At 54.0% G+C, this 26,561-nt stretch overlaps 1 protein-coding gene and 1 long non-coding RNA gene across 9 annotated transcripts in view, besides 15 other annotated features; one reads left to right on the top strand and one right to left on the bottom strand.

The window, feature by feature from the left end:
- The window catches only part of RUNX3-AS1 (RUNX3 antisense RNA 1), a 34,252-nt gene extending 10,218 nt beyond the window's left edge, over window positions 1-24,034 (bottom strand). For 2 of the 3 annotated variants that reach the window (NR_183341.1, NR_183340.1), the window contains exon 1: window positions 22,465-24,034. This is a non-coding gene — a long non-coding RNA (RUNX3 antisense RNA 1). Of the gene's footprint in view, window positions 1-15,589; window positions 15,750-22,464 lie in introns of all 3 variants that reach the window. The other variant, NR_183339.1, reaches the window with a different exon arrangement.
- Window positions 1-26,561, top strand: part of RUNX3 (RUNX family transcription factor 3) — a 65,628-nt gene that overhangs the window by 10,648 nt on the left and 28,419 nt on the right. For 5 of the 6 annotated variants that reach the window (XM_005246024.5, XM_047433131.1, NM_001320672.1 and 2 more), the window contains one exon: window positions 24,639-24,904. In XM_005246024.5, the coding sequence (XP_005246081.1) occupies window positions 24,639-24,904 (266 nt within the window). Of the gene's footprint in view, window positions 1-24,214; window positions 24,905-26,561 lie in introns of those variants that run through there. The other variant, NM_004350.3, reaches the window with a different exon arrangement.
- Window positions 215-274: a silencer, noted in NCBI's record as "silent region_446". NCBI's record gives its function as "represses an Ori minimal core promoter by ATAC-STARR-seq in GM12878 lymphoblastoid cells {active_cell/tissue: GM12878}" and the evidence as "EXISTENCE:reporter gene assay evidence [ECO:0000049][PMID:35858748]".
- Window positions 1,842-1,891: an enhancer, noted in NCBI's record as "active region_415". NCBI's record gives its function as "activates an Ori minimal core promoter by ATAC-STARR-seq in GM12878 lymphoblastoid cells {active_cell/tissue: GM12878}" and the evidence as "EXISTENCE:reporter gene assay evidence [ECO:0000049][PMID:35858748]".
- Window positions 3,756-4,281: an enhancer, noted in NCBI's record as "H3K27ac-H3K4me1 hESC enhancer chr1:25276701-25277226 (GRCh37/hg19 assembly coordinates)". NCBI's record gives its function as "activates a minimal SCP1, AML or CMV promoter by ChIP-STARR-seq in primed H9 embryonic stem cells {active_cell/tissue: H9 hESC(primed)}" and the evidence as "EXISTENCE:reporter gene assay evidence [ECO:0000049][PMID:30033119]".
- Window positions 4,282-4,805: an enhancer, noted in NCBI's record as "H3K27ac-H3K4me1 hESC enhancer chr1:25276177-25276700 (GRCh37/hg19 assembly coordinates)". NCBI's record gives its function as "activates a minimal SCP1, AML or CMV promoter by ChIP-STARR-seq in primed H9 embryonic stem cells {active_cell/tissue: H9 hESC(primed)}" and the evidence as "EXISTENCE:reporter gene assay evidence [ECO:0000049][PMID:30033119]".
- Window positions 7,352-7,461: an enhancer, noted in NCBI's record as "active region_414". NCBI's record gives its function as "activates an Ori minimal core promoter by ATAC-STARR-seq in GM12878 lymphoblastoid cells {active_cell/tissue: GM12878}" and the evidence as "EXISTENCE:reporter gene assay evidence [ECO:0000049][PMID:35858748]".
- Window positions 15,510-16,009: an enhancer, noted in NCBI's record as "H3K4me1 hESC enhancer chr1:25264973-25265472 (GRCh37/hg19 assembly coordinates)". NCBI's record gives its function as "activates a minimal SCP1, AML or CMV promoter by ChIP-STARR-seq in primed H9 embryonic stem cells {active_cell/tissue: H9 hESC(primed)}" and the evidence as "EXISTENCE:reporter gene assay evidence [ECO:0000049][PMID:30033119]".
- Window positions 19,108-19,177: a silencer, noted in NCBI's record as "silent region_445". NCBI's record gives its function as "represses an Ori minimal core promoter by ATAC-STARR-seq in GM12878 lymphoblastoid cells {active_cell/tissue: GM12878}" and the evidence as "EXISTENCE:reporter gene assay evidence [ECO:0000049][PMID:35858748]".
- Window positions 21,977-22,196: a silencer, noted in NCBI's record as "silent region_444". NCBI's record gives its function as "represses an Ori minimal core promoter by ATAC-STARR-seq in GM12878 lymphoblastoid cells {active_cell/tissue: GM12878}" and the evidence as "EXISTENCE:reporter gene assay evidence [ECO:0000049][PMID:35858748]".
- Window positions 22,512-23,101: an enhancer, noted in NCBI's record as "H3K27ac-H3K4me1 hESC enhancer chr1:25257881-25258470 (GRCh37/hg19 assembly coordinates)". NCBI's record gives its function as "activates a minimal SCP1, AML or CMV promoter by ChIP-STARR-seq in naive H9 embryonic stem cells {active_cell/tissue: H9 hESC(naive)}" and the evidence as "EXISTENCE:reporter gene assay evidence [ECO:0000049][PMID:30033119]".
- Window positions 23,867-24,336: a silencer, noted in NCBI's record as "silent region_443". NCBI's record gives its function as "represses an Ori minimal core promoter by ATAC-STARR-seq in GM12878 lymphoblastoid cells {active_cell/tissue: GM12878}" and the evidence as "EXISTENCE:reporter gene assay evidence [ECO:0000049][PMID:35858748]".
- Window positions 24,537-24,976: a silencer, noted in NCBI's record as "silent region_442". NCBI's record gives its function as "represses an Ori minimal core promoter by ATAC-STARR-seq in GM12878 lymphoblastoid cells {active_cell/tissue: GM12878}" and the evidence as "EXISTENCE:reporter gene assay evidence [ECO:0000049][PMID:35858748]".
- Window positions 24,537-25,274: a biological region, named in NCBI's record as "H3K4me1 hESC enhancer GRCh37_chr1:25255708-25256441".
- Window positions 24,541-25,274: an enhancer, noted in NCBI's record as "H3K4me1 hESC enhancer chr1:25255708-25256441 (GRCh37/hg19 assembly coordinates)". NCBI's record gives its function as "activates a minimal SCP1, AML or CMV promoter by ChIP-STARR-seq in naive H9 embryonic stem cells {active_cell/tissue: H9 hESC(naive)}" and the evidence as "EXISTENCE:reporter gene assay evidence [ECO:0000049][PMID:30033119]".
- Window positions 25,275-26,009: an enhancer, noted in NCBI's record as "H3K4me1 hESC enhancer chr1:25254973-25255707 (GRCh37/hg19 assembly coordinates)". NCBI's record gives its function as "activates a minimal SCP1, AML or CMV promoter by ChIP-STARR-seq in naive H9 embryonic stem cells {active_cell/tissue: H9 hESC(naive)}" and the evidence as "EXISTENCE:reporter gene assay evidence [ECO:0000049][PMID:30033119]".
- Window positions 25,447-25,626: an enhancer, noted in NCBI's record as "active region_413". NCBI's record gives its function as "activates an Ori minimal core promoter by ATAC-STARR-seq in GM12878 lymphoblastoid cells {active_cell/tissue: GM12878}" and the evidence as "EXISTENCE:reporter gene assay evidence [ECO:0000049][PMID:35858748]".

Raw genomic sequence — 26,561 nt, 5'->3', positions numbered from 1 at the left:
CCCTGTGCAACTGCCCAGGCCTGAAAATAAGCCTCTGTCTGCCTTTCCTTCCTTCCCTGGACTTGTGTGGGCTTCCATTCTTTATGAATCCACAGTGTTAAAATAATAATAAGTGAAGCCTTGGGTGAGAGCATAGCTTGAAGATTTTAGAACCAGTAAGAACATTAGGGAAAACATGACTCCAACCAACGTCCCCACCCTGTCTGCATTTTACGTTGTAGAACACCTGAAGGATCTAAGAAATTTAAAAATAAGCTCGGTAATCTCAACACCCAGAAAAAACCACTATCATTCGGTGTGTTTCCTTCCAGTCTATTTTTACCCCATGTCTTGTTTTTGCCTCTGTGGGTCTCTTTCCTCCATGTGTGAGGCCATGCAGATATGTCTGAGAACCTCAACAAGAATATCAATAGGCTGGGGCATGGCGGCTCCCGCCTGTAATCCCAACACTTTGGGAGGCTGAGGCAGGAGGATAACTTGAGCTCAAGAGGTGAAGGCTGCAGTGAACTATGATCGTGCCACTGCACTCTAGCTTGGGCGACAGAGCAAGACCTGGTCTCCAAAAAAAAAAACCACACATTAACAGTCATTACAGGTTGAACATCCCTTACCCAAGATGGCTGGGACCAGAAGCATTCAAATTTAGGACTTCTGATTTTGTCAGATTTCGGAATAGTTGGATTATACTTCAGTCCAAAATCCAAAATTCTCCAATGAGCATTTCCTTTGAGTACCATGTTGGCCCTAAAAAAGTTTTGGATTTTGGAGCATTTCAGATTTTAGATTTTTGAATTAGGGATAATCAACCTGTATAGGTGTTAGGATATGTCTAAGAAGAATCTAGAACGGCACCGTCCCGTAGGATTCTCTGTGATGATAGTAATGTCCCATGTCTGTGCTGCCCAACACAGTAGCCACCAGGGGCACGTGAATCCCGAGCGCTTGAAACGTGGCTACTGTAACTGAGGAACTGAATTTTTTATCTTATTTCATTTTAACTATTTTCATTTAGATAGCATTTAAGTATTTTCATTTAAAAGCTAATGGCTACTTTGTAGGGCTATGCAGATCTGTTTTTTTTTTTTTTTCATTTTTCTTTTCTTTTCTTTTCTTTTTTTTTTTTTTTTCAGACGGAGTCTGGCTCTGTCGCCCAGGCTGGCGTGCAGTGGCGCAATCGCACTCACTGCAAGCTCCGCCTCCTGGGTTCACGCCATTCTCCTGCCTCAGCCTCTCGAGTAGCTGGGACTACAGGTGCCCGCCACTACGCCTGGCTAATTTTTGTATTTTTAGTAGAGACGGGGTTTCACTGTGTTAGCCAGGATGGTCTCGATCTCCTGACCTCGTGATCCGCCCGCCTCAGCCTCCCAAAGTGATGGGATTGCAGGCTTGAGCCACCGCGCCCTGCCTTTTTTTCATTTTTCAACTCAAAATGTTTGAAAAGTTTTATACATAACAAGCACGTACTGCTTTAGTAATCAAAAGAAAGATAGTAAAAATTTTAAGTTTTTAAAGCATTCAATGCTACCGGAAAAAAAAAATACCTGAGTTTTTTAAAAGCCTATGATGGGGGAAGATTGATCCTGTTAGAATAGGATCTATTTTTACTTTTCCAGTCAACATACAGAAGAACGAATGTGGGGTTTAGAATCAGAAGCTGTGGGTTTGTCTACCGGATCTGCCACTTACTGGCTATGTGCCCACTTAACCTTTGTGAACCTCAATTTCCTCATCTGTATGATGGAGACATTGATGCTAGTGACCTCTCCAGGCCGCTGTGGGGGCTGAATCAGACAAGGAAGGTGAGAACAGGAGGAATGGCCTAGCGATGGTGCACATGACTGGAGATGATTTCTGTAGAGGTGGAGCCACTCATCCCTGCGAGAGGGTGTTCCTCACAGCTCTGACTCCCCTTGCCATTTCCTAGAAAGCAGGAAATGAGGGTGGCATCTCCCAACGTGTGTTCAGATGTTATCAGCTGTTGAGCAGAAATAATGGAACTCTGTGGTCAAACAAGATTGGGATTGGTTGTTTCAAACAATGTTCAATGGTGTTTTGCTGCAGGACTTGTCAGAGTCTTTGATATGCTAATGGCTACCTTGTTGGGCCATGGAGATCTAAAATAGTGTATGCTCAACTGTTTATTGAGTTATCTCTTGGGGTGAGATGATGCATCTGGAAGGGGCTGGTGTGTGCAAAGTCCACTTTTGGAAAAGCTGCTCTAGAGAGAGCTATTGGATCCACCATGGGCTATAAGCACTGTGGGGGCGGGGAAATTATCTTCTCAAGGACCTAGGAAATTGTATTGAGATTTCAAAGGAAAATTTGCTGGATCCTAAATACAAAAGGGAAAAGCACAACATTGAAATGAATCAATTCGTAATTGACAGTCTAGAAAATATAAATTATGACTCAACTTTTAAATAGTTCCATTAGCAGTAAACATTTACATAGCTCTTAACTCTATGTCAGCCACTGTCTAAGTGTTTTCCATACCTTTGCTCATTTTGTTTATATATGTATTTGAGACAGGTTCTGGCTCTGTCTTCCAGGCTGGAGTGCAGTGGCATAATCTTGCTCACTAAAGTCTCTGCCTCCCAGGCTCAAGTGATATACCTTAGCTCATTTAATCCTCACAACCCTATAAGACAAAAGCTCTTATGAGGCCTATTTTACAGATGAGAAAACTGAACCCCAGAGAGATTAAGGCATCTGCTCAGGTCACCCACCCAGGCAGCCTGCATCCAGAGCCTGCGTGGCTCGCCAAAGCACAGTAGCTATGAATTAATGGACGTTTCCTCAGGTCAAGGAGCATCCTTGGTCTTCTCTTGGCCCCATTTCTGGCAAGAGCTGGTGGTGCCCCCACGAGCTTGGTTCCCACGTCCTCCACCCAAACCTAGAGAGGCTGGAGCGACTCAAGGGGTGAAGGGAAGCCAGGCAGAACCAGCTCCACCACCTTCTTACTGGGTGAGTCATTGCCTCCTCTGGGCTTCAGTTTCCTCGTCTGAGAAATGGGCCAGTAATCATTTGTGGAACAAGAGAGGGGAGATTCATAAAACTCAGTGTATGGCCCATGCAGAAGGTACTTGAGGTGTGGTGGTCTTCTCCTTGCTCAGTGCATAGTTAGAGAAATTGAGGCACAGAGAGAGAGGGACAGGGCCAAAGCTGAGCTCAGAGAGCACCCCAGGGAGCTGGGCCAGAATCCCATGGCAACACATGCAGGGAAAGAGCTTCTTTCTCTCTCTCTCAGCAGGCACCCATGCTGCCTTATTTTTTTTTTTTTTTTTTTGAGATGGAGTCTCTCTCTGTTGCCAGACTGGAGTGCAGTGGCATGATCTTGGCTCACTGCAACCTCCAACTCCCTGGTTCAAGCAATTCTTCTACCTCAGCCTTCCGAGTAGCTGGGATTACAGGCACGCACCACCACAACCGGCTAATTTTTGTATTTTTAGTAGAGACAGGGTTTCCCCATGTTATCCAGGAGGGTCTCAATCTCCTGACCTCGTGATCCACCCACCTCAGCCTCCCAAGGTGCTAGGATTACAGGCGTGAGCCACCACGCCCGGCCTATGCTGCCCTTCTTACGGCAGCACATCAAGCACTTTGGCAGGGACCTCTGGGTTCCTCTCCCCTAGGCTCCTCAGCTCTCCTGGGGCCCTTCCACCTACTACAGGTCTGCCTGATCCAGGGTCATGCCCAGGCCTACTGCCCGGGCATGGTGCAGATATGCCCTGGTATTCCCGTCAGGTGCCCTCTTCTGAGCGAGGGGCAGGCACACAGGCATGGCCCTGTTCATGGCCCCCTGTGCTTGTCCAGGTACCCCAGATACTCCAAGCAGAGGGAGGTACTCCACATCCCTCTACTCCAAGAACAGAGATCCACCCCACGCCCAGCCACCTGTGAGACTGCTATGTTCCAGGGCTACCTGGCCCCCCCACCTCCTGTGCTTGAATTTAACGCTCAGCAGTTGCCATATTGAAATGCTGGATCATTTTCGCTCTGAATTAGTGTGTTGTAAATGAAGCCTGATGGGCTAGTGCAGCATGCCTGGGGACTTGGGGCCCGGGTCCAGTCTGCCTCCTGCTGCCTCCAGGGATGGGTTCTCAGCAGCCCACTACCTGCACTGCCGCCCTCCACTGAGGCAGGCATGGGGAGGAGAAAGGGGTTGGAATCTGCACACCAAGTTTTGGGGTGGCCCCTGAGCATCTGTGAGGGTCTGCACTTTCTGCACAAGTCTCCCCAGGTCCAAGTACGTGTGACATTGAACAGCAAATAAAAAACACCACCGTGGGTTGAGAGTCCACAGAAGAAAGGAAAAACTTTTGTTCCTGCATTTTGAAAAGGGGTCCTGTATTTTCTTTTTGCACTGGGTCCTATAAAGTAGGTAACTGGCCCTGCCTGAGGATTGGAGAGACATGCAGGACCCCCAGAAATACAGTGCAGGCATCGGGGGAGCTCAGATGAGCTGCCCTGTTGAGTTTCTGCAAGTGAGAGGAGGGAGCAACGGCTCCTGGGGTCTCCTGGGGTTCCAGGGCCCAGGCAAAAAGAGGAGGCTGCAGTGTGAGGACCCTGGGACATGGAAGCCCCGCCCACAGGTACCCTGAGCTCAGCTATGCTGACCCCTCCTGGGGTGGCCCCATGCTCTGAGCCAAGGCCCACCCTTCTGCCAAGCAGGGTGCCAAGGGCCAAGGCCAAACCCCCGCTCCAGAGAGGCCTGGCCCAGAGTGGCAGGCCAGAGGTGGTGGGTGGGCTCCTGACGGCCTCCCTGGCCCAGGCCGCGTGGATGATAGGCTGGGTGAGGTGGGCTGCTGGCCTTGGCTTTCACACACATCACGGGGAATGAAAAGCTCACAGAGGCCACTGCAGAGTGCAGGAGGCCAGGTCACAGTTCAGTCAGTGATGAAGGCCAGTGGGGGTCAGTGACAACTTGGACTAGAAATCAAGCTGTGGTCAAGGTTGGGACTCAGTTTGTGGCCGCTTGGGGAGTCAGGTTGGGGCCTCTCTCTGTCTCGTTCACATCCGCCAAGTCCTTGGTGTGGGTGCTGGGCAGGGTCTGAGTCACAGGAGGTGCTCAGTAAATGCTCCTGGAGGAATGAATAAATGAGTGGTCTGCTCACGGGGGGCGGGGCATGGCTGGAGTGCAGCCCTGGACGCTGGACGATTTGCACTTTCCATTTAGCCAGACTTGGATTCAAATCTTGGCTCTGCTTCTTACACCCTGAGGGGGATATTTAACCTCCTTTTTGCTGTTTCTTCAGCCATACAATGGGGAGAATAACAGTACCTCCCTCTCAGGCTGTTAGAGAATTCACTAAGACAAACCTGAAGTGCTCAGCTCCACAGCCGCCCGTGGGAAATGCTCCAGTATGTGGGAATGAATGTGATTGTATCAAGAAGACCTGCAGACCCCCATCCCCTCAAAGACACTCGCAGTGTTCACTGTGGTTATAAGACTTCAGGCTTTAACATTTTTTATGTGTTTTCTGTATTTTCCAAGATTTTTCATTGTGCTCATATTATTTGTATCACAGGGGCAAGCAGCAGGAGGCAGGGAGGTGGGTTCGATTAATGTGATTAATTTACAGTATTGTTTAAATAGACAATCATAAGAGGAGGTCAGGCAGAGTTGGCTCCCCTCAAGCATTCACTGGGGTCCCAGCTTCCCAGAGGCCCTGACAGCATTTGAGCCCTGTGGCCTCCCCACATGTACCCTTGTCCTGGATATGCCCCTCCCCCACATGCACACCTGCCCTGCATGCACCCCCAATGCACCCCTGCCATGTACAAACCCTTCTCTCCCATGCACCTCTGTCTTGCACGCACCCCCCACATGCACCCCGTCCTGCACATGACCCTCCCCGACATGCACCCATCCTGCATGTACCCCTCCTCCACATGCACCCCTGCCCTGTACATGGCCCTCCCCCACATGCACCCCTGTCCTGCATGTACCCCTTCCCTGCATGTGCCCACCTTCAGGTCAGACCAGCACCATCTGAGGGTTTCTGGTAAGACCTGCGGGTGTGCTGGGGCCTCTGTCACAGGCTGTCCCAGCTCAGCAACCAAAGTCTGTCCCTGCCACCATGTTAGGCCTCCCGCCTTGTGTGCCCACCCCCACCATGTGCATGTGAACACACACCACCCTCACACAAGCATACACACACTTCACAGGCCGCACCTGCTGCAACAGACACAGACTTTTCAGGAACTCCTTTTGGGGGGACCAAGGGCCACCTGGTGGCGTGGTCTGAGGGAGGCTGCAGGGGGAGGATGCTTAACCCCTACCCACGCTGCTCTTCTTATCTCTGGCCAGGAAATCCTTCCTCTTCCTGGGGGTCCCCAGACACCTGCCACGAGCTCCTGTCCACTGGGTGGATGCTTCTGGAGGGCTGAGGCCTCCAGGAATCCAGGACTGATGTGACAGAGTCAGGGCCCCAGCTCAGAAGGAGGTTTCCCAGCTGGGAGAAGCCTCAGTGATGTCTGGAGGGTCCCATTGTCTGACAGATGGGGAAACTGGCCCGGGAGAAGGTGGGGCCTCCCCAGGTCACCCCAGGAAGAAAGGTAGAAGCGGAGGAGGCAGCCTCACCTGGTGGAAGCACACAGCAGAGAGGGCAGAGGAAGCCAGTCCTGGTCAAACTTCTCTGGGCTCTGGGTCCCTCGCCTGGCAGACAGGGGCCACTCAGGCCCTGCCAGCTCCGGCTGTGATCTGCGGGGAGCTCCAGAAGGATTCAGGGAACTCCAGGTGAAGCCCACATAGCTCTCTGGGTTGTGGGGAAAGGAGGATGCAAACAGGGAGCGTCCCCAGGGGCCTAGGTTAACCCCCTGCAATCATTTCTGTCCTCTTCTTCCTGTGGGGTTAAAAAATAGCCTCCCATCTGCTGGGGCAGGGTGGGCCAGCCTCCATCTGGGGCCGTCAGGTCCCTCCTAGCTCAGCCTTGGTCAAAGGCCTGCCCACTCCAACCCCTCAAAGACCGGGCTTGGCTGCTTGTGGTGAGCTGGCCCATCTGGCAGGGTTCTCTCTCTCTTTGACTCAGCACTGAGTATCTGCACCCACTGTGCTCAGAGCCGCCACAGGCCTAGGAGGCTGTCTCTGACTCCCTGCTCTCCCATTTCACAGACGGAGAGGGTGAGCTGCCCAGGGCACATATGGAGAAAAAACAGGCACAGGACCTGGCTGCCCAGCTTCTAGGCCAAAGCTTGTCCTTGTTTCGGGGTAGTGCTGGGACTTTGCCCCATTGGGTAGCAGGCAGCCAGGTAGCAGGCAGCCGGACTACTGGGGCAGCGCCTTTGCACCCCCAGGTGACAAGGCCTAGGGCCCACAGCTCTCTGGAGCACCCTCAGTGTTCTCACCTGTAAGATGGGAGACAGCCATCCCTAGCTTCAGGGTTACCGTGAGGACACACAGAGACGCAGAGGGTCTGGCACGTGGTGAGCTCCGTGGGTTAATTATTACCAAGTATGATGTCTACACAGGCCTGAGGTCCAGAGGACCCTCAGACCACAGTGACCTCTGTGGCTATTTTGGTTGGAACTAAGCATCTGGGCCTTAGACCATAACGTGGAGAAATAGCTGAGTAAATGGGTATTTTCAGCGTTGGATGGAATCAGTGAGGCCTTGGGTGTAGACAAGGCTTTTCTCTGGAGGAGGTGGAATACTGCCCCCGGCTTTCTGCCAAGCTGAGAAGTCCAGGCTGCCAGTGGGAGTGGGGCTGGAGAGCAGCTGTGGGGAGGATGTGGGGCGGTGTCCGGAGCCTCTCAGTGTCTATACTGGTCTCAGCAACCCCAGTCCCAGAATCTGTCCTAAGGAAGGAACCAGGGATGCAGCTAAGACATCCACGCAGGGTGTTCCCTGACAGAAATCTGGAAACCCCCTAAACAGCCCATCACAAGGGAACTATGGTGGTCCATGAGTAGGGGGGGAATGGGCTTTCCACACCCTGGCCCCTACCAGGCTTGTCTAGCAGCCACTTGTCCCCTGCCATCAGGGAGGCTTTAAGAAAACAGGAGAACACACATACACACATGTTGGGGGATTTCAAAAGCAGGTTTAAAGGACCCCATACTGTATGTTCCCAACACTCAAAAAAAAAAGGAAGGAGAGAAGGGAGGGAGGGCGGGGAAGAGAAGAAGATAATAAATCTATACATACAGTAAGAAGAGCAGAAGGCTGAACACCCAGTGGGAACCATTGTTCTGGGTGGCAGGATTATGGATGGTTTTAATTTTCTTCTTCATAATTTTATTATTTTCCAATTTTTCTTTAATGAATGTGTATTATTTTTATAATCAGAAAAAAATGTGTTTTGTTTTAAGGAATGGGGGGCGGTTCAGGATTGTTCTTCCCCTTTTATAGACTCTGAAACTGAGGCCCAGAGTGGAAACAAACAGCATTCGTTCATTCACTCAGCCATTCATTCACTCACTCATTCATTCATTCATTCATTCATTCTCAAATGCTTCTGGGAACCCCCCTAAAGCCAGACTCAGTTTGAAGCCCCATGCCAAAGAGCTGAAAGGGGCCCATCTCCGTTCTCAGGGAGGTCACAGTCAGGGAACGTAAAGGACACAATAGCAAGTCCTTACAACGCATTCAGACAAGGGGCCATGGTGGGGAGGGGAAAGAGAGGGGGCCAAGTCCTCCTGGGAGTTTTAGAGATGGTCTCACAAAGAGAGAAAAGTAGGACAGGGCTTTGATGTATGAGGAGGAGTTCAGCAGTCAGAGAATGCGGAAGCACATACCCTGAAAAGGAACCGGGGGCTGTTAGAGAGAGAGGATCCACAGTGTTCAGGGGAATGGGTAGGGAGATAACATTAGAACATTCCATGAGCCAAGTTTTCAAAGGCCTGGAATTGCCTGGCTCTGCTGCTCAATGGTTATGTGACTTTGAACAAGTTACTAAGCCTCCTGGGCCTCAGTTTCCTCATCTGGAAAATGGGCTAACCACCTCATTGGGTTATTGCAAGAACCGAGTGAGTTAATAAGTGTAAAGCACTCAGCCCGGGTCTGGCATATTGAAGCGGCTATGAAACTGTCTGCTTTTATCATTTGCTATGATTTACACTTTACCCTGTAGGCATTCTGGGAGCCAAAGAGGGTTTTTAAGCTAGAAGTTAATGTGAATTCATTTGCTTATCTATTTCACTCATTCAACAGACATTTATTGAGATCCTAATACATACCCAGGAATGGTTTTATGTGTTGGGGATGAATTCGCCAGATAAAATACAAGACTCCTAAATTATTTTAATTTCAGATAAACGATAAATAATTGCAATATTTGGGGCAACTTTATACTAAAAAGGAGTTCATTATTTATCTGAAATTCAATTTAACTGGGTGTTTTATATTTCCATTTGTTAAATGTGACAACTCTATCTGCGAATGTAACACCAAGCAAGCAAAAAATCCCTGCCCTCCTGCAGCTGACCTTCTGTGAGAGAAAAGAGACAATTCATAAGTCAAGCTATTGTGTATCAGGCACTAATAAATGTGCTGAGGAACTGTCAATCAAGGAAGGGAGACATATTCGTTTCCTATGCCTGCCATCATAAATTAACCCACTTTTAGTGCCTTAAAAAAAACATGCATTTATAATCTTACAGTTCCAGGGATCAGAAATTCTCTATGAGTCTCCCTTGGCCAAGATCAAGGTCAGGGCAGGGCTGTGTTCCTTGCTGGAGGCTCTGGTGGAGAATTTGTTTCCTTGTCTTGTCCAGCTCCTAAAGGCTGTCTGCTTTCCATGGCTCATAGCCCCTTCCTCCACCTTCAAAGCCCACAGCTTTGAGCCATGTTTTTCCCACGCTGCCATCTCTCAGGTTCCCTAATCAGTTTCCACACCCCATCTCCCTCCGACTGTCCTTTTCTGCCTCCCTATTCCATGTGTGAGGATCCTTGTGATCATATGGGGCCCACCTGGGGAATCCAGGATAATCTCCCATCTGAAAGTCTTTATCCTTCATCACATCTGCGAAGTCCCTTTTGCCATATAAGGTAACATAGCCACAGGTTTGGGGATTAGGATGTGGACATCTCTGTGGCCATTATTCTGCCTACCACAGGAGACCAGAGAAGGCCTCTTGGAGGAGGCAGCAGGGACCTGAATGAAGTGGGTAGCTGAGCCAGGCAGACAGAATGGGAAGGGTTTTCCAGGTAAAGGGCAGCACAGACAAAGGCCCTGTGGTGGGAGTATGATGGGCATATTTGAAGGCAGGGTGGCTGGAGCAGGGTGAGGGAGGGGCAGAGTGGAAGCAGATGAGGTCAGAGAGGTGGAGGGTGGCAGGTCATGTAGACCCCATCAAGCCTGGCTAGAAGGGGAGAATCAGCTCTCTCCTGCCCCTCAACGGCCCCCAAGCCCTGCCCCTGAAGTACCACCCTGTCCTGCTAAGCTGACACCCATTCCAGGAGTACTCACATTTTAATAAGAAACTCTGTAAGGCCCCAAGGGCTAAGTCGCTAATGTTTAGGCCCAGCGATGGACAGTAAAGAGATATTTTATGGCAGAGAGGGGCACAGTCTCACCTCCCACAACACCAGGGAACTGGTGATCTTCCCTAACATCAAAGGCCAAACTCTTCTTAGAGTACTGCAAGATGAGAAGGAAGAGGCTTTCCCTGCAAACGAGGGATTCAGGTTAGATGTTCAAAAGAACTTCCTGTGTGCTAGCAGAAAACTGTCAGTTAAGGTTGGTAACATCTGGGAGCCTAGGTCCTGGCTGAGGACCCTGCCCTCAGGGGGCCTGACATTCAGGGACCAGCGGAGGTCCCACGATGACCTGGGGGAAGAATGAGTCCTGACTTTGGACTCCCCTGGGCCCCAGCACGTCACATCCCCTCTCCAGACCTGTTTTTCCGACACAAGGGGACTAGCCTCAGAGATCTTCGGGGGTCCTCTCCGCACTGGCCAACTGTTCCAGGGCTCTTATTTCCTAAGACAAAAACCTGGTAGCTGTGTGTTTGGCAGGCTACTTAACCTTGCCGAGCCTCAGTTTCCCCAACTGTAAGTGGGGATGATCACAGAACCCCCTCTTAGGATGGAGCAAGGATGAAGAGTTAAGCTGTGTGAGTTCTCAGAACCGTGCCTGGCACCGTGAGCACACCATCAGTGGGAGCTACTGCGATGAAGATTCTAACATCCTCAGGGTCTCAGAGCCTCAAGTCCATGACCCTGTCTCCAGGAGCCTCACATTTGCTGGCTGTGGGATTCTGAGTCTCCAGACACCCCCCTCCACCCTGCTGCCAGCATGCTCCCAAAGCCCTGGCCTCCCCCACGTGCTGGGTGGCATGCCTGCCCCACAACCACATGAAAAGTCATTCCCTCAGGGTGTCCCCACACCTGGGAAAACCGGCAGTCTGCCCGGCGCTGGTCCCGCCTGGTGGCTGGAACACCGGGCAAGATCAATGACACCCGGCTCGGCTCCCGGTGCTGCCACCTTGTTCCAATCAGGGCTGGGCGCCTTCCGCTCCGGACCCCCGCCCAGTCCTGAGCCGCTGCCCCCTCCTAGACCCTACCCAGCTGCCCACATTTCCAGCCTGTGACCTCTCAGGAGCGGTGCCCACGGGCTGGCTCCACAGTGGCTGCAGCCTGCCTGGACTGGGGTGGTTGAATAACATGCCAGGCAATGGGCAGGCTCCGAGGAGCACCAGGCTGGGAGGCGGGAGCCCGGGTCAGGTCCTGGCATTAGGGCACCGCTGATGCTGACCCTCCCCACTCTAGCCTCAGTTTCCTGCACTGCAGGTCAGGCTACTTAGGCTCACCCCATCTGGCTCTCAGGGCTGTTGTGGGAGAAGCAACAGAGAGAAAGGGCAGTAAGAGTTTTAGGAACTGGGGATACTAGCAGTGCAGAGGAGTGGGGAGAAGGCAGGTGGGTAAAGCCAGTTCCACTGTGCAGTGGGCCCTCCTACCAGCCCCCTTCTCCCTTCCTGGGTCCCTCTCAACCCTCTGGTCTCAGCTCGCATGTCACCTGCTCCGACAGACCTTCCCTGACCACCCTGTCTAAAGTATTGCCAAGAGCCCCTCTCTCCCCATCCACCCAGTCACTCTCTCTGACTTTACCCCCATCTGTTTTCTTGAGTGTCCCAAGACACTATCAAATATTGGCGTGCTTATTTATTTGCCTCCTTGTCTGTCTTCTGTCTGCCCTGCTGGAATCAAAGCCCCCAAGGAGCTCCATGGCTTTCTGGTCCATTGCTTGTATCCCCAGCACCTAAAATAGCCCTAGGTGCCTAATAAGTGTGTGTTGACTGCTTCAATCTAGTGCCAACTCCTTTTCCTCTGTCTGTTTCTTACTTCTCCTTTTCCTTTCCATCTCATCTCCCCCCCTCATCTAAGCTCAGAGCTGCTAAGGGCAGGACTGGGAACCTTTTCCCCTGAGGACACGGATGGGGGCAGGGGCAAGCCCAGGCCTCCGTGAGCTAAAAGGGCCTTCAGATCATCCAGCCACCCTGGATTTGATTAAGGCTCAGAGGTGAGGCAGTGAGAGGGCCCCCCACCCCAGGTCTGAGGACATTCAGTGGGCTTCTGGAAGCCCACTCAGGTGATAAATGTCACATTCCTGCCAGTGGAAACTTATGCCAACAGCAAATGACAGAGTGCCCAGTGTCTGAGCCTGTCACCTGGACTTGCCAGGCAGGGAGTCCAAAGCCTGCTCTAGCTCCGTTTGGCTGTACCCACAGCCTCAGCACCTCCCCAGCAGCCATGACCCTGTAAGGAGGCGGGGACTCAGGTCATCACACAGGGCTAGCATCACTCTGGGAGCAGATCTCCTAGGCAGCATCCTCCAACCCCAGCCAACCCCCCTGCTGGCCTCTGGTCCCTTGGGATCCGCTGTGGACCCTGGAGCCACCGTTCTGTCTTTTGTTTCCATGAAGTCTGAGCTCCCCACACAGCCAGGCCAGGAAACACAATCTGGGATCAGGCTGCTGAGGTTCAAGGCTCAGCTCTGATACTCACCTAGGGTGTGAACTTGAACACGTTCCTGACCTTGCTATGCCTCCGTTGTCCTACTGTTACAATGGGGATGATGATAAATGTACCTAATACAAAAGTGGCTCCGGGGATTCAACAGCATGTGTGAGTGTACATAACGCTAGTTACTATAATCAAGGGGCCTGGCTCCTCGGGTGAGGTTGCTGCACAACTTTGGCATTGACAGAGCTGGTTCAAATCCCAGCTCTGCCCCTTCCTATGTAGGTGCAAGGGACTTCCTTGCCTGTAAAGTGGGCCCACTGACACATACCTGAAGGGCTACTGGTCGGCCATGAGGAGTGCTTGGGGAGCGTGCTCAGCAGGGGCTGTTACCTAGAAGTGCTTACCTAGGTGGGGGTTGCCATGATGAGGACAGCTGCAAGGGCCTGCAGAGATTCAACTGAGAGTGTGATGGTACACAGGACCATCCGGATGAAACAGTGCAGCTTTGCTGCATCATGAATAATTGTACGATATTATGCACATTTGAGCATATTGTCCATTTTTTCAGAGGTTTGGGGCAGGGGAACTTTTTCTATATTTTATCTTTTGCTTTCCTTTAAAATATTTTTAAACATGTAAAATACATGTACAGAAGAATGTATAAAATATAAGTATTGTTTAAAGAAGAAGAATAAAGCAGACATCTATCTACCTACCACCTGGCTTTAAAAAACAAAGCACTAATGGGACCTTAGGGCTCCCACCAGTGTCCCTTCCCTGACTGCATCCCTCTCCCTACTCATCACAGGTGGCAAGTGGTGGGGACCACTCTCCTGATTTTTTTTTTTTTTTTTGGTAGATACAGAGTCTCACTTTGTTGCCCAGGCTAGTCTTGAACTCTAGGCCTCAAGTAGATCCCCCCACCTCACCCTTCCAAGTAGCTGAGATTACAGACACAAGTTACCACGCCTAGCTATGATTTTTGTATTAACTATTCTCTTGCTTGTCTGTCTGCTTTTCACCTTCAATGTCATTTTCTATTTATAAGAGCAGAAATTCTGGGATGACCTGAAAGACCAACAATAGGGGATGTGACTTGCTGGAGCTCTTGGAAATAATTTGTTCTCCCCATTTCATAGATGAGGAAACTGAGGTTTGGAGAGGGCCAAGGTCATGCAGATGGCAAGGTGGGAACCCAGAGCTGGTATGCTCTGAATCACGGATGATTGGCTCAGAAATGGAGCTCTGCAGTCGCTCTCTCATTTGTTCAATACGTGTTTGCTATGAGCTGAGCGTTTGAGACACTAGTATCTGGTCCGGCCCCTGCCCCATCTAACACTCGAACTCCCTGCACAATATCCTGGTCTCAACTTGATCTCTACCTCTGAGGGGACGTGTCCCTATTCCAAGCCAGCTCTCAATATTTCTATTCCTGGTATGGAGCCCCCAGCATCCATATGGTCCCTGCCACCTGGGAGCTCTTCATAGATCTGCCAGAGGAGCTCTTACCCCCCAAGCCTGCTCTCCTCCAGGGCAAAGTCTCCAGTTGCTTTAATAGTTCATCATGTGACATGGTTTCAGTGCTCTTCCCCATGCTGAGGCCCCTGGGGGTGTCACATGGCCCTAACAGAGGGGGCTCAGGATGAAGCCCAGAGAGGCCATGTGTTGGCCTAGGGCATCTCAACCTAAACCCAAACTCAGGTCTCTGGGCCCCTAGGCTAGTGCCCTGCCCTTCCACCCATGCTGCCGTGGGGCACCCTAGCTGCAACCCTCCCACTTCTCCCCTCCCACTGCCTTTCTCTGGACCAGGAAGACAGGCTCTCCTTGTCCCCATCGAACAATGAGGGAGCGGGTTAAACTCAGATGCTGGGGAATGGTTTGGAAGCCCCAGGGGGGCAAACCACCCAGAAAGTCCATGCCTCTGAATTGAGGAGAAGCAGAAACTTCCAGAGCCAGGGTTCGACTCCTCCCAGAGCTGCTCTGTAGAACAAATCCAAAGCTCTGAGCCCTGATTCCATGCCTGCCTCTGTGTGTAAAGATTTGTCCACACAATGGTCTGCTGTTTACACAGCTGTGATGTGGGTTTCTGCCCATGTGTGTGTCCACACCACTCATATAATGGGGCCTATCTGTGCATCTATCTGCGCATCTATACCAATAGGTCCATGCATGATGATGCAGACAGAGGCATCTCCTAGGAGCATCTTTGCACACACCTGCACTTAACTGTTTGCACCTGTGGCTGCACTGTAACAATGCTGTCCTCCATGAGGGCTTGTCCATGTGGGTGTGAGCTGCCAGTGAATGTGTGAGAGACTGTGCCCATGAGCGTGGGTGCTGTGTGTGAGTGCACACATGTAGGGTATAGATGTGTGTGCGTGTGTGTGTGCACTCTGCGTGCCCAGGGTCCAGTGGAGACTTTTCCCATCCTAGCCTCCTACTTCATGTGCCCCTCCAGTCCTGGAGTCTGGTCTTTCCTCCTCATTTTCCAGCCAAATTATAACCCCTGGAAAAGGGGCCTTTATTACGGAAACACTGACACAGCCCAAATGCGATTGGGGAGAAAAGGGTTGCTGCCATCCCCTGGCCCACTTTTGTCTAAAGAGAGTGTCTTAGTTCACTCTGTGTCGCTGTAACAAAATACCTGAGACGGGATAATTTATAAATAGAGAAATAGAAACTTACTACACATGGTTCTGGAGACTGGGAAGTCCAAGATCAAGGCTCTGGCAGGTTCCGCATCTGGTGAGGTCCTGGACTCCCTGTTTCCAAGGCAGTGTCTTCTGGCTGTGTCCTCCGGAGGACACAGAACATTGTGTCCTGAAGTCAGAAGGGCAAAGAGGGCCTAATCCATTCATGAGGGCAGAGCCTTCACCACTTAATCACTTCCCGAAAGGCCCCCCACTGCCTCTTAATACCATCACAATGGGGGTGAAGTTTTAATGTATGACTTTTGGGAGACATTCAAGCCATAGAAGAGGAACTTTATTGCCTGCCAAGGACTCTTAGCTGTGATTTCCAGGCCTGGACACTGAGGGTGCCTGACAGACCACCTGGGCTAAAGGCGGCGGGACAAGGGCAAGCTGAGCTGATGCTGAGGCCAGATCCTCCGAAAGTTTGTGCAGAGGCAACCGGGCCAGCTGACAGGAGCCTCAGAGTCAAGTCCACTTGTCAATAAGCACCTTCTGTGACGGTGGGCAAATCTCTGATCCTTCCTGGGCCTCGGTTTCCCCAGCTATTAGATGCGGAAATGAACAGACCTGTTGTAGATTAATATGGAATTCTAGAATGTTGAAGACAGAGAGGCCTCCTGGGGCTCAGGTGTGGTCCAATGCATTTATCTCCCTGAAGGGGAGTCTGAGGGCCAGAGAGGGAAGGGACTTGCTCAAGGTTACCCAGCAAGGAACAAGGAAATGGCTGCCCTGGATCTAGCAGTTGGCTCTATGAGCCTTAGGCCCAGGCCTGGTTATAGGACATGGCAATCTATGGGCTCTGTTCAGCCCCAACTTTCATCAAGAATTTGGACTCTTTTGAGTTTATCAAGGTGCCAGATCCAACTGCTTCCCAACCAGTGAGGGTGGCAGAGGAAAACTGCAGCGTGAAAGAGTGGAAGAAGACACAAGGAAGGACTTCCAGATGTTTAGAATGGAGAGCTGTGGGGGAGGGGGACAGGGTAGGGCTCCAGCCACATTCCAGACCAGACTCAAGGCAGTGACCTGCATGGAAAGAGCTAATAAATTTACAAGTGGCACAAACAACTATAAAACTGAGACTCCATCCCCAGCCCTATGGATCCAGGCCCAGGTCCACTGTTGCCCAGGCCCTCGGTTTGACACTGACTTGAGAACCTTCACTTCTCTGGCCTCAGTTATGCCTTCTGTTATCTGGGAATAGAGCAGCCTAACTGTGTGTATCCCCATCCCCCTGGGCATGGTGAAGATGAAATAATGCAGAATGTAGAGCTGCTAAGAGCACTCACTTTGGAGTCAGGGAGACCTGAGTTCAAGTCTAGGCTTCCTTGCCATATGGAAGCCTCTCTGAGCCTCAATTTTCCACATCTGCCCAATTCACAAAGTCATTCTGAAGTTCATCTCAGGTGATATAAGCAAACTGGCTAGTAGGCACTCAAGAAACCCTACTCCCCGGGATTGGGTACATGGCAGGGGCCAGGAGAGACGTGACAATTGGTGATGAGGGGTGGATTTGTGGTCAGGACTGGCTATATAATTTGGGGGGCCCAGTACAAAATGAAAACGCAGGACCTTTGTTGAGCAAGTATTCAGAAGTTCAAGGCAGTGGTGGCAGGGCATTAAAACAAGCTCAGGACCCTTCTGAGACCAGGGCCCTGTGCGACTGCATGGGTCACAGGCCAGAAAGCCGGCCCTGCCTCTGGGATATCTAGGGTGGCTCAAATCCAGTTCAGGTGGAGAAGCTGAGGCTTCCCCCACCACACTGGGGGTCACTCCCTCTCCCCAGGATTGCAGCTGGGACCATGACCGCTGGCCCTGCCACTGTCAGTGGACATCAGAGGCGGCATAAAAGACCGACTGTTGCCCACCTCCGTATGCCCATTTGTATCTCATGCCATGCGTACAGCACATAGTTGATTTATTTCCGCAAAGGGCTGCACTTTTTTTTCTTTTCCAAGGGCGATGCTGGAAAGCCATGTGGCTTTTATTGCTGGCAGGAATGTCTGAGGCGTTCTTTCACCACCACATGAAATAGAGCCGCAATCTTCATCTGCGTAAGGCCAAAGCCCCCAGTCTCCTCCGAGCCATCGGCCTCTGAGATTAATTAAGGCTTCACAAGGACTGACAGTCATCAGGACCTTTTTGGGGAGGTGGAAAATCCCTAATGGGCCTGGCTGGGCCCAGAAGCTGCTGGGTGGGCAGTGGGGAGAGGAGGGCCTGCGAGAGAGGAAGGTGCGGAGTCAGCGGGAGGTAGCTGGAGAGGCAGGGGGTGCAGACTCTGTCCCTGGCACTGGCTGTGACCTTGAGTGAGACTCTTCCTTCCTAGGCCTCAGTTCTGTCATTTGAGAAATGGGGATTTGGATTTGATATCTCAGAGCCCTTTCGAGTCTGACATTGTAAAATTCCGAATCCTGCCCACAGTTCTTCTGCCAGGATTCTAATTCTATTCCATGACTGTAACTCTGAGCATCTGGTTTTAGTCCACAAGAGTAGAGTGTAGTGGGCAGCAACATGGGCTCTGGGGCCAGGCTGCCTCGTTGGAATCCTACCCCTGTGGTTTCCCAGTGGTGCCAACTTGGACAAGTTACTTGAGCTCTCTAAGCCTCAGTTTTCTTTCCTGTAAAATGGGAGTGATAACTGTCGCTACTCCCTAAGAATACTGTGAAGCAAAAATGTGTGTAAAGCAACAGCCACTCAGAAGAGCCCTTTCTCTCCCTGCCCGCCAGAGCTGAACCCCACCCTGGGGGAAGGGCACATGTTTCCCAGAAGCCCCCTTGGCTCCAAGCTGCCCAGGTCTCTCTCACCACTCCATGGCTCCCAGTAGAAGAGTCCGTGTTTGATGGCTCTGCTGGCAGGTAGCTCTGCACGCACCTGCTGCTTTGGATGGAGAGCTCTGCGCTGAGAGCAGCGGTCAGAGTGCAGACAGCCCCTCCCTGATCGAGGAGTGGGGTGCTGGAAGGGCTCCTGAGAACCTGTTTGAACTTCTCAGATTCTGAGGCCCACAGAGGAAAAGCTCTTTACTTTCGGAGCTTGGGTTTCCCCATCTGTGAAATGGAAAGAATAAAATCTCTGCCCTTCAGAGGCACCTGAGGGTGAGCGACAATTGGCGGAAAACTCCCAGCATGCGGCAGGTGTTCAAAAAATTAGGGCAATTATTAGTCATAGACCAATGATCAAAGTCACAGACCAGATAACTGTCTTCCAGAAGTATTTCCCTGATTTACAGATGACAAGAGCGAGTAGCAGGGAGGGTGGTAGGAAGGCCCCACCAAGTGATGGGATCTGAAACCAGAAACCCCTTCCCTGGTAACCGATGGAGACGGTTTTTCTGCTCTGCGCTCCCGCAAAAGAAGTCTCTTTTCTCCGTCCTTGCCTCCCTTTCTCTCTCCCATCCTCAAAGCAGAGCACCCTCTGACCACCCACCTGCAGAACAGGGTGGGGATGGGCGTGGAAGGATCCGAGGTCATGTGGACGCAAGGGAGCTGGCGCCCCGCGGGAGGTGGAGAGGAGGTGGGTGGGGAGGAGGGGCCTCGGGTCACAACCAAACCCTGGGGTCCTATGGAACCCGCATGGCATGTAGAGGGGCCTTGAAAGTGCACCCCCGCATTCAGATGCAAACACTGAGGCCCAGAGGGAAACACGTCTGATTAGCACTTCCCCTGGGCGAGAGGCACTGAATGTGGCATCAGGGTGCTAGTGTATGAGGCCCAGGACTGGGCTGCAGTCTCCTGCAAGGCAAAGGTCCTGTCCAACTGCGTTTTGCCTCGAGGTGCTTGCTCCTGGCCTTGCTGGAGCTCATTCCAGATCCTGATCACGCCCTTTCCCCTTTCTGGGCCTCAGTGTTCCCATCTGTAAACTGGGGACTACTGCCAGTCCTGCCTCCTCGCAGACTGGTTCTGAGGCCAAAGGAGAGCAGGTGGTGGGTGCACCTTGACTATCACAGGACCCTCCCGAATGACCCTGGCAAGTCCTTCCTGACTCCCTGCAGATTTGAAGAGTTTACTGATTTCCAAGCCCAGGGCTGCTTAGCAGGATTTACCAAACCCAGCTCCCTCTCCCCATCACAATAGCTCTTTCCTCTGTATCTAGATGCTAGCTCTTCCCATTACTCAGCCACTAGGAGGAGAGTGCTGACATGCTTGGCCAGGTGATGCGTTCATGCCCCACATTTTGAACCAGAGCAGACTTTTAACCCGGGTCTGGCCCTCTCTAGCCTGGCTGACCTCGGACAACGTTCCTCTTTGCTTACATGGGCATAACACCTACCACATATGACGCCGTGGGGATTGAATACCATGAGCAATGCCCATGTGCGGCGCCTGGCACAAGGTAAAGCCTCAGCACCCCCAGCTGTTACTGTTCTTCCCATTTTACCCTCGGGGACCAAGGCTCAGGGGAGCGTGGACACCAGGCAAAAGTCTCAGACCGCACAGGCAGCATCTGGGTCCTAACACCCTCACCACCCTGCTCTCCCTTGCTCCTTCTCCCTCCCCTCCAAGTCTGGAACTTTCCAAAAAGGAAGAAAGATCTCTGTAATTTGAGAAGCACATTTGTGCTCCCACACATTCTGAATCCTTCCAGAGAGGCTGCCCAGGATAGATGACCCCAGAGCTGGACTCTCTGGAGCTGGACCCCCGGCCTACAGGAGACAACCCCTCAACCCAGATATATTGCCATTTTTCATTAACATTTCTCGCTTATATATTCAGAGATCATTATCTGAAATCAGGATGCAGATGAGTCCTAGTTTACTCAGCAGCATTTTCTTTCTGTTTCTTCAAACAATCGATCATCAATCACAATGATGCCCCTCCCCTCCTAGAGGGAATCCTTAATCCCCCTCCCGTGAAATGGAGTGGTTAGAATGACCTCCATTGACAGAAGAGGAAATTGAGGCTCAGTGAGGGGCATGAATGTCCCCTTTGAGTTCTAGGGCACTGGGCAGGAGATAGGTTTCACCACGGGTCCCTCTGGACAGGGGATTTAGGGCCAGGCTGGGAGAAATTTTCAGTTCTAGAAGAGAGTCCTCTGCTCTCTTCGCTGGACTAGGCTCCTGTGTGATTCGGGATATGGGGAACAGAGGCCTCCTGGGAAGGAAACGGGGTCCCTGGCAGTGTCCGCTGAGGCCCAGTTGCTACTCAGGAAAGGGTCTGCCCACAGGAGGGCGGCCGGCTGGGGGCGAAAGTGAGGTTCTGAGAGGAATGGTCAGACAGGCAATCATCGAGACCCAGCTCTGGCCGCCCTGTGATGGTTGCTGGAAACCCCGCTATGAGCTGACTCCACGTGGAGGTAGGTCACAGCCAGTCCTTACCTCCCCCAGGCAGCCTGTGGGCGAATTGAGGGATCAGGACAGCATGGACTGGCTTGGAGTCCTAGTAAGCTTTGAATATGAGAACTGGACATTTCACAGATGGAAGTGTGAGGCCCAGAGAGAGGAGGGGTGGGTCAAAGGCCCCCAGCAAGGATTGAGAGGTCTTATTTTTTCATGACAGTGATGGCTCCCGGAGGCTGGAGCACCCTCCATGTGCCAGGCCTGTGCTAAGCACTTTACACACAATTCTATGAAGGGCCACTATGAGTGCCCCACTTTACAAATGAAAGAAATGAGGCTCAGAGAGGTTTAGGCAACTTTCCCTAGAGCGCTGTGGGTGAGGGAAAAAGACACGCTCAGGCAGAGGGACTGTGGACCCCAGCTCCTTCCATAGCCCATGGACCTCTTAGGCGGTTTCCCAGGGCACACCTGCCCCTTGTCTGGTATACCTGGGGATCCCTGCCCAGGCGCCACAGAGTCCACATGAATCACACCTGCCCTGGGAAGGCGGCACCCTCACTGCCAAGAACGCACTTAGAGAGCACTCCTAAATGCCAGAGGGAGACGAATCCCCTTCCTGGGGCAAAGGAGCTGGCTCTATTTGCCCGGGGATGGGTTCTGGGTTTACCCAGCTCTAAGTCAAGGTAGGGTAGGGGAGTGTCCTGACCTTCTGCTTCCTAGCCCTGCTGTGGACAACTTAGGGTGCTCTTAGGTGGGGGCCACTGGGGAGAAACTGGCCTGTTTGTCCATCGATCTGATGGAAGAGGGAGAAAAGACGACGGTCCATGCCAACTGGGGAAGGGCGAGGGTGTCTGCATGCCCCAGGTGGGGGAGTCGGAGTTCTCCCTCCCATCAAACAGACGACAATTTTTGTCGGTCCGGGATGGGGAGGAAGCAGGTGGAAATTGGGAACAAGCTAGCCTGTTCTGTGGGTCTTCCCCGGGTGCCTGAAAACGCGAAGACAGAAGGCGTCCATCTTATCAGAGGTGAGGAAGGCGGCCTTGGTTTGACACAAAGCCATCGGTTTGTCTGAGACCTGGCCGCATGGATGGCAAGGAAAGGGCAGCTCCTCGGGGGCGGTCGCCGCGCCTGCACCCGGGGCCGCAGCTGGCGCGCATCTGTAGCCCGGCCGGGCCCGCACCTCCGCGGCTGGCAGGGCGCGGGCGCCAACTAGCGGCGGCTCCCGCCACTGTGCCTGCCAGGCGGCCCCGCGACCTTGGTCTGGGGACCCAAGGGCCTGCACCCGCCCCCCCTCCCCCCGCCGCCCTGGTCCCTTGGATCTGGTGCCCACGGGGAGCCAGCGCCCTACGGAGAGCCGGAGCCGTGCCGGGCCCTGCGCCAGGTGCCAGGGCCCACAAGAGTCCCTCATTCTCTGGAAACTTGTCTGTGAACCCATCGTAAGCGGAGAGGGAGAAATCAGGCGGAGGAACAAGCAAAGGGCACGGTGCAAACCGAAACCATTCGACAAATGGAATTTACCACCACCTGAAACAGCGGGTCATGGTCCCGCAACCTGCTCGAGGGCAGCACGTGTTGCCCGCCCCCGGCCAGGGCCCTACCTGGCCACGACGCGCTGCGCCTTCTCGGAGACGTTCCCGGAGGTGGGAGCGCCCAGGCTGGATCACTCGCTTTCCTCTAGTTCTGCTGCTCGTGCCAGCGCGTCCGAGGGCGCGCGGGCCTGGGTCCGCAATCGACAACTGCCAGGCGCAGGCTCTCTTAAAAGGTTCAGTAAGGGACCTTTGCCGTCCTTCCTTTCGACACGGCCTGAGGGCGTGCTGTGAGGTCCCGAGGTGGGTAGGGGCCAGCTCTCCCGGTGGTCGGGGTGAGTCCAGAGTCCTTCGCCCCTGGAGCGCACGCGGGGCTTGATTTCGTTTGGCAACGACGAAATGGCGCGCGCTGAGCAGGGGTCAGATCCATGATGAGATCTTGCGGCCACCGTCGGATCCTAAGCTTCTTTGCTTCCGAGGCTTGGAATTCATTGTTTTGCACCTGTCGAGAGCCGGAGGCAACGAAAATCTAGCCCCGTCTCCAAAGCGGCGGGGAGGCTCAGCACGCGTTCGTTCCCCAGAGTCTAGGGAGGTGTCTGGGGCGATAATTCGGAATGATTGTGGCTTGATCTTTCCCGTTGCCCTCCCAACTGTAGCCGGCCCCTAGGTCTGCTCGACAGACTTAGGAGGCGGGAGAGGAAGGGGTGATTTGCAGTGAAGCCCAGGAGAGGTTGGGCCACGCGGCTGGGAGTGGGAGCGGGGACCCGGAGCCGGGCGGGCAGGCAGTGCCTTGGCGAAGCTGTCCGCGGTCCCTGCGGCGCAGCCGGAGCGCACGGGCCCAAGAAGAAGTGGGGTTGGACCCGCAGAGGCCACTTTCCACCCGCATGGAGAAAGAAAATTCTCTCCTCTGAAAGCGAGGGCCCTTAGCTTTGCAGCCACTGCTGTTTTTCTTTTGCCACCGACGCGCGTACCGTTTCACGATGCAGGACCGTGGTTACATGCGTAAAGGAAAAAAAGAAAAACGCATTTTGCAGGCCTCGTCGTGTTTTTCAAAGAGCCACAGGCCGCCACAACGAAGAACGACGCCGCGAGGCCTGCAAGATCCTGAAACTTGTTTTGAGGGGAGAGCAGAGAGGAAAGGGGTTGTTGGCCCCAGGCTACTTAGGGTCCCTAGGAGACTCCCTTCCGCCTGTCCCCGGTTTGGCACAGGGGCCACCGAGGCTGGGACCAAAGCCGCGCAGGGCTGGGAGCAGCAAAGGCCGCCGGCCGGGCGTGGACGACGCGCAAAATCCCGTGTGGGGTGGAGGCTCTTGGGTCAGAATAATGTGCGGGACGAGGGAGGTGAGTAACCTCTTTGGGGCGGCTCCCAGTGCGGCGTCACCGGCCCTGAGACCCCGCGGCCCCCAGCCCGGGGTTGCAGAAGTCACAGGCCCGAAGCAGCAAGAGCTGGGGAAGCCCGGCCGCGGCCAGCGGGGAGGAGGAGCGAAGGGGTTGCGCCCCAGCGTCAGGGAGCTACGACCCGAGAGAGGGCGGCAAGGGCGCCTTCCGTGGGACCCGGACGTTCTAAGCAAATTTCTAGCATTTGCCCCGGGCTCCCAGAGCTCTCGGGGGCCCTGGGCTGTGGCACTGGGGCCTCCTCCGCGGGGTGGCGCCTTCCGCCCCTCCCCGTTGGGCGGCCTCCGGCAGGCCCCGTTCCTCCCCGCGAACGCCACCGAGGTGCCCGCGATGGGGGCTCCGCCGATTGGCTGTGCGACGCGTCGCTCCGCCAGCCCCGCCCCGCGGGCCCCGGGGGTACTAACCCCGCGCGGGCGGCCGCGGCCCCGCCACTTGATTCTGGAGGATTTGTTCTGGGGCTGCGGCCGCGGAGTCGGGGCGGCCGCGGGCGAGCTTCGGGGCGGGAGGCGGCGGCAGCGGCACAGCCCCGCGCGGGCCCCGCCGCGGCCCAGGCAGCCGGGACAGCCACGAGGGGCGGCCGCACGCGGGGCCGCGCGCCGAGGATGCGGGACTAGCCGGGCAGGCTGCGGGCGGCCGTCGGGCCAGCGAGGCCTCGCAGCGGGCGGGCCCTGGCGAGTAGTGGCCGGGCGCCGCCCCCTGCGCCCTGAGGCCCGGGCCCCGCCGCTTCTGCTTTCCCGCTTCTCGCGGCAGCGGCGGCCGAGGAGGCGCCCGCGCCGGCCGCCCCCGGGGGAAGCCGCGCCGTCTCCGCCTGCCCGGCGCCCTGACGGCCGCTGTTATGCGTATTCCCGTAGACCCAAGCACCAGCCGCCGCTTCACACCTCCCTCCCCGGCCTTCCCCTGCGGCGGCGGCGGCGGCAAGATGGGCGAGAACAGCGGCGCGCTGAGCGCGCAGGCGGCCGTGGGGCCCGGAGGGCGCGCCCGGCCCGAGGTGCGCTCGATGGTGGACGTGCTGGCGGACCACGCAGGCGAGCTCGTGCGCACCGACAGCCCCAACTTCCTCTGCTCCGTGCTGCCCTCGCACTGGCGCTGCAACAAGACGCTGCCCGTCGCCTTCAAGGTGAGTGCGGGACCCGGGGCGGGAGGGCGCCGGCCCTGGGGCTCCGGGCGTCTGAGCTGCGGGAGCCAGAGCCTCGGGAGCAGTGGGGATGGGAGGTGCCCGAGACGCCGCGGCGACACCCGGGCACCCGGTTCAGTCTGGCTGCGCGCTCGGCTCCGGGACCTCGGCGTTCCGTTTTGGATGCGCCCTGCAGGAATGACTTTTAACGGGGTTGCCCCGCTCCACCTGGGTTTTGGGGCGCCTTGCGTAGAGACGTTGGTGCGGAAATGGGCGGATGGGGTTTTGCGCCCCCCTAACCCGGATCGCTCAGATACAGCCCTGCGGGTAACGGAGAAGAGGATCCCGGGACAGGGGCAAGGACACCGCGGGTGGGGTGCGAACGGTGAAAGGGCCTACCCTCCGCCTCCAGCACCCCTCCTCCCGCGCCGCTTCGCAAAAGCTTCCTGCTCACACCCTCGGGCTTCCGAAATTTTACCGGACGGCGCTAGGCCGGGATCGGGGCACTGCTCTCCAGACGTTTGCTCGGGGATATTATGCGTCCCGAATGGCGAGTTGAGATTGGGGGACCCCTAACCCTGGCAGCCCCCAGCCATTTAGAGGACCTTTTTCTTTATGCCAGGGAGTAGGCGACTGTTTCATTTTCATTTTTTTAAGGGGGCAGCGAGATGAAACGAAAACGCCTCGGTTTTCCCCTAAACCTCTCACAGCTGCCGTGAGAAAAGGGCAGGGCAGGAAGGGCCGGCGGCTGGGGGTGGTGCTGCCCGAGGTGGCTGGAAGCTGAGGCCGTCCCTGCTCCCATTAAGACGACTCTAAATGGGAAAAAAAGGAAGAGTGGCTCTTTGAGGTCTCCCGGGTGACATCTTAAAATACCAGTGGGGGAAATCTCGCCGGGAGGGGCGGGAGGCCCGTGTGACTTTAATCGTCAGATCGGAGGTTTTACTGTCACTTGGAGCTTAAAAGGAGTCTTTGAAATTAAAAGAAGACAGGATGTTGACAGGAAATCTGGTCTTCTTAATCAGATCCCAAACATTTTCTCCTTGAAATTTTTACCATATGGATCCCCAGTCCCTGCACGCGGCGGCCACGTTTAAATAGTTGTGACTCTGTTTAAAGTCTGATTCTTTTTCAAAAGGCATCCGCCTCTCCGTGCTCCTGGGGGTGGGGGATTTGGGGGAGATGGTGTTTAGGGGGACATCGCCACCCCCATCCTGCAATTCCCGGCAGGTGCATCCTTCCATTATCAAAAGCCCCACTCTCACTTTAAAGGGGTTTTCTGGTGGCCTTTTTCAAAACACCAGTGAGTTTTGCATTCTGCATTTTCTCTGCATAACGAATTTAGGCTCTGCAGAGGCCAATAAACTGGGCCTGGTCCACATTTCAGGGCCAAATTTCATGCCCTAAACAGCTCTTGCATAAATTGAGTGGGGGTAGCAGCCCTGTTGTTATTATTGTTGTTACTCTTTCTCATTTGGAGACTTCGTTGCTAGGAGCATGTTGATTCCTCTTTCGCTGCAGCCGAAGACAACAGGGGAACTGCACCCCACATCATAGTGACTGAGCTGATTCACAGCTCTGGCTTAGATTTCATTGAAAGGATGATTTCTTGGGACACAGTTTATGTAAGCAGTTGATCTAGGATTTTGGTGTGGAAGCTCGA

Source organism: Homo sapiens, chromosome 1 (assembly GCF_000001405.40).
Source record: "Homo sapiens chromosome 1, GRCh38.p14 Primary Assembly".
In the NCBI taxonomy this organism is placed as follows: domain Eukaryota; kingdom Metazoa; phylum Chordata; class Mammalia; order Primates; family Hominidae; genus Homo; species Homo sapiens.
This window is presented reverse-complemented; position numbering and strand designations above follow the sequence as displayed.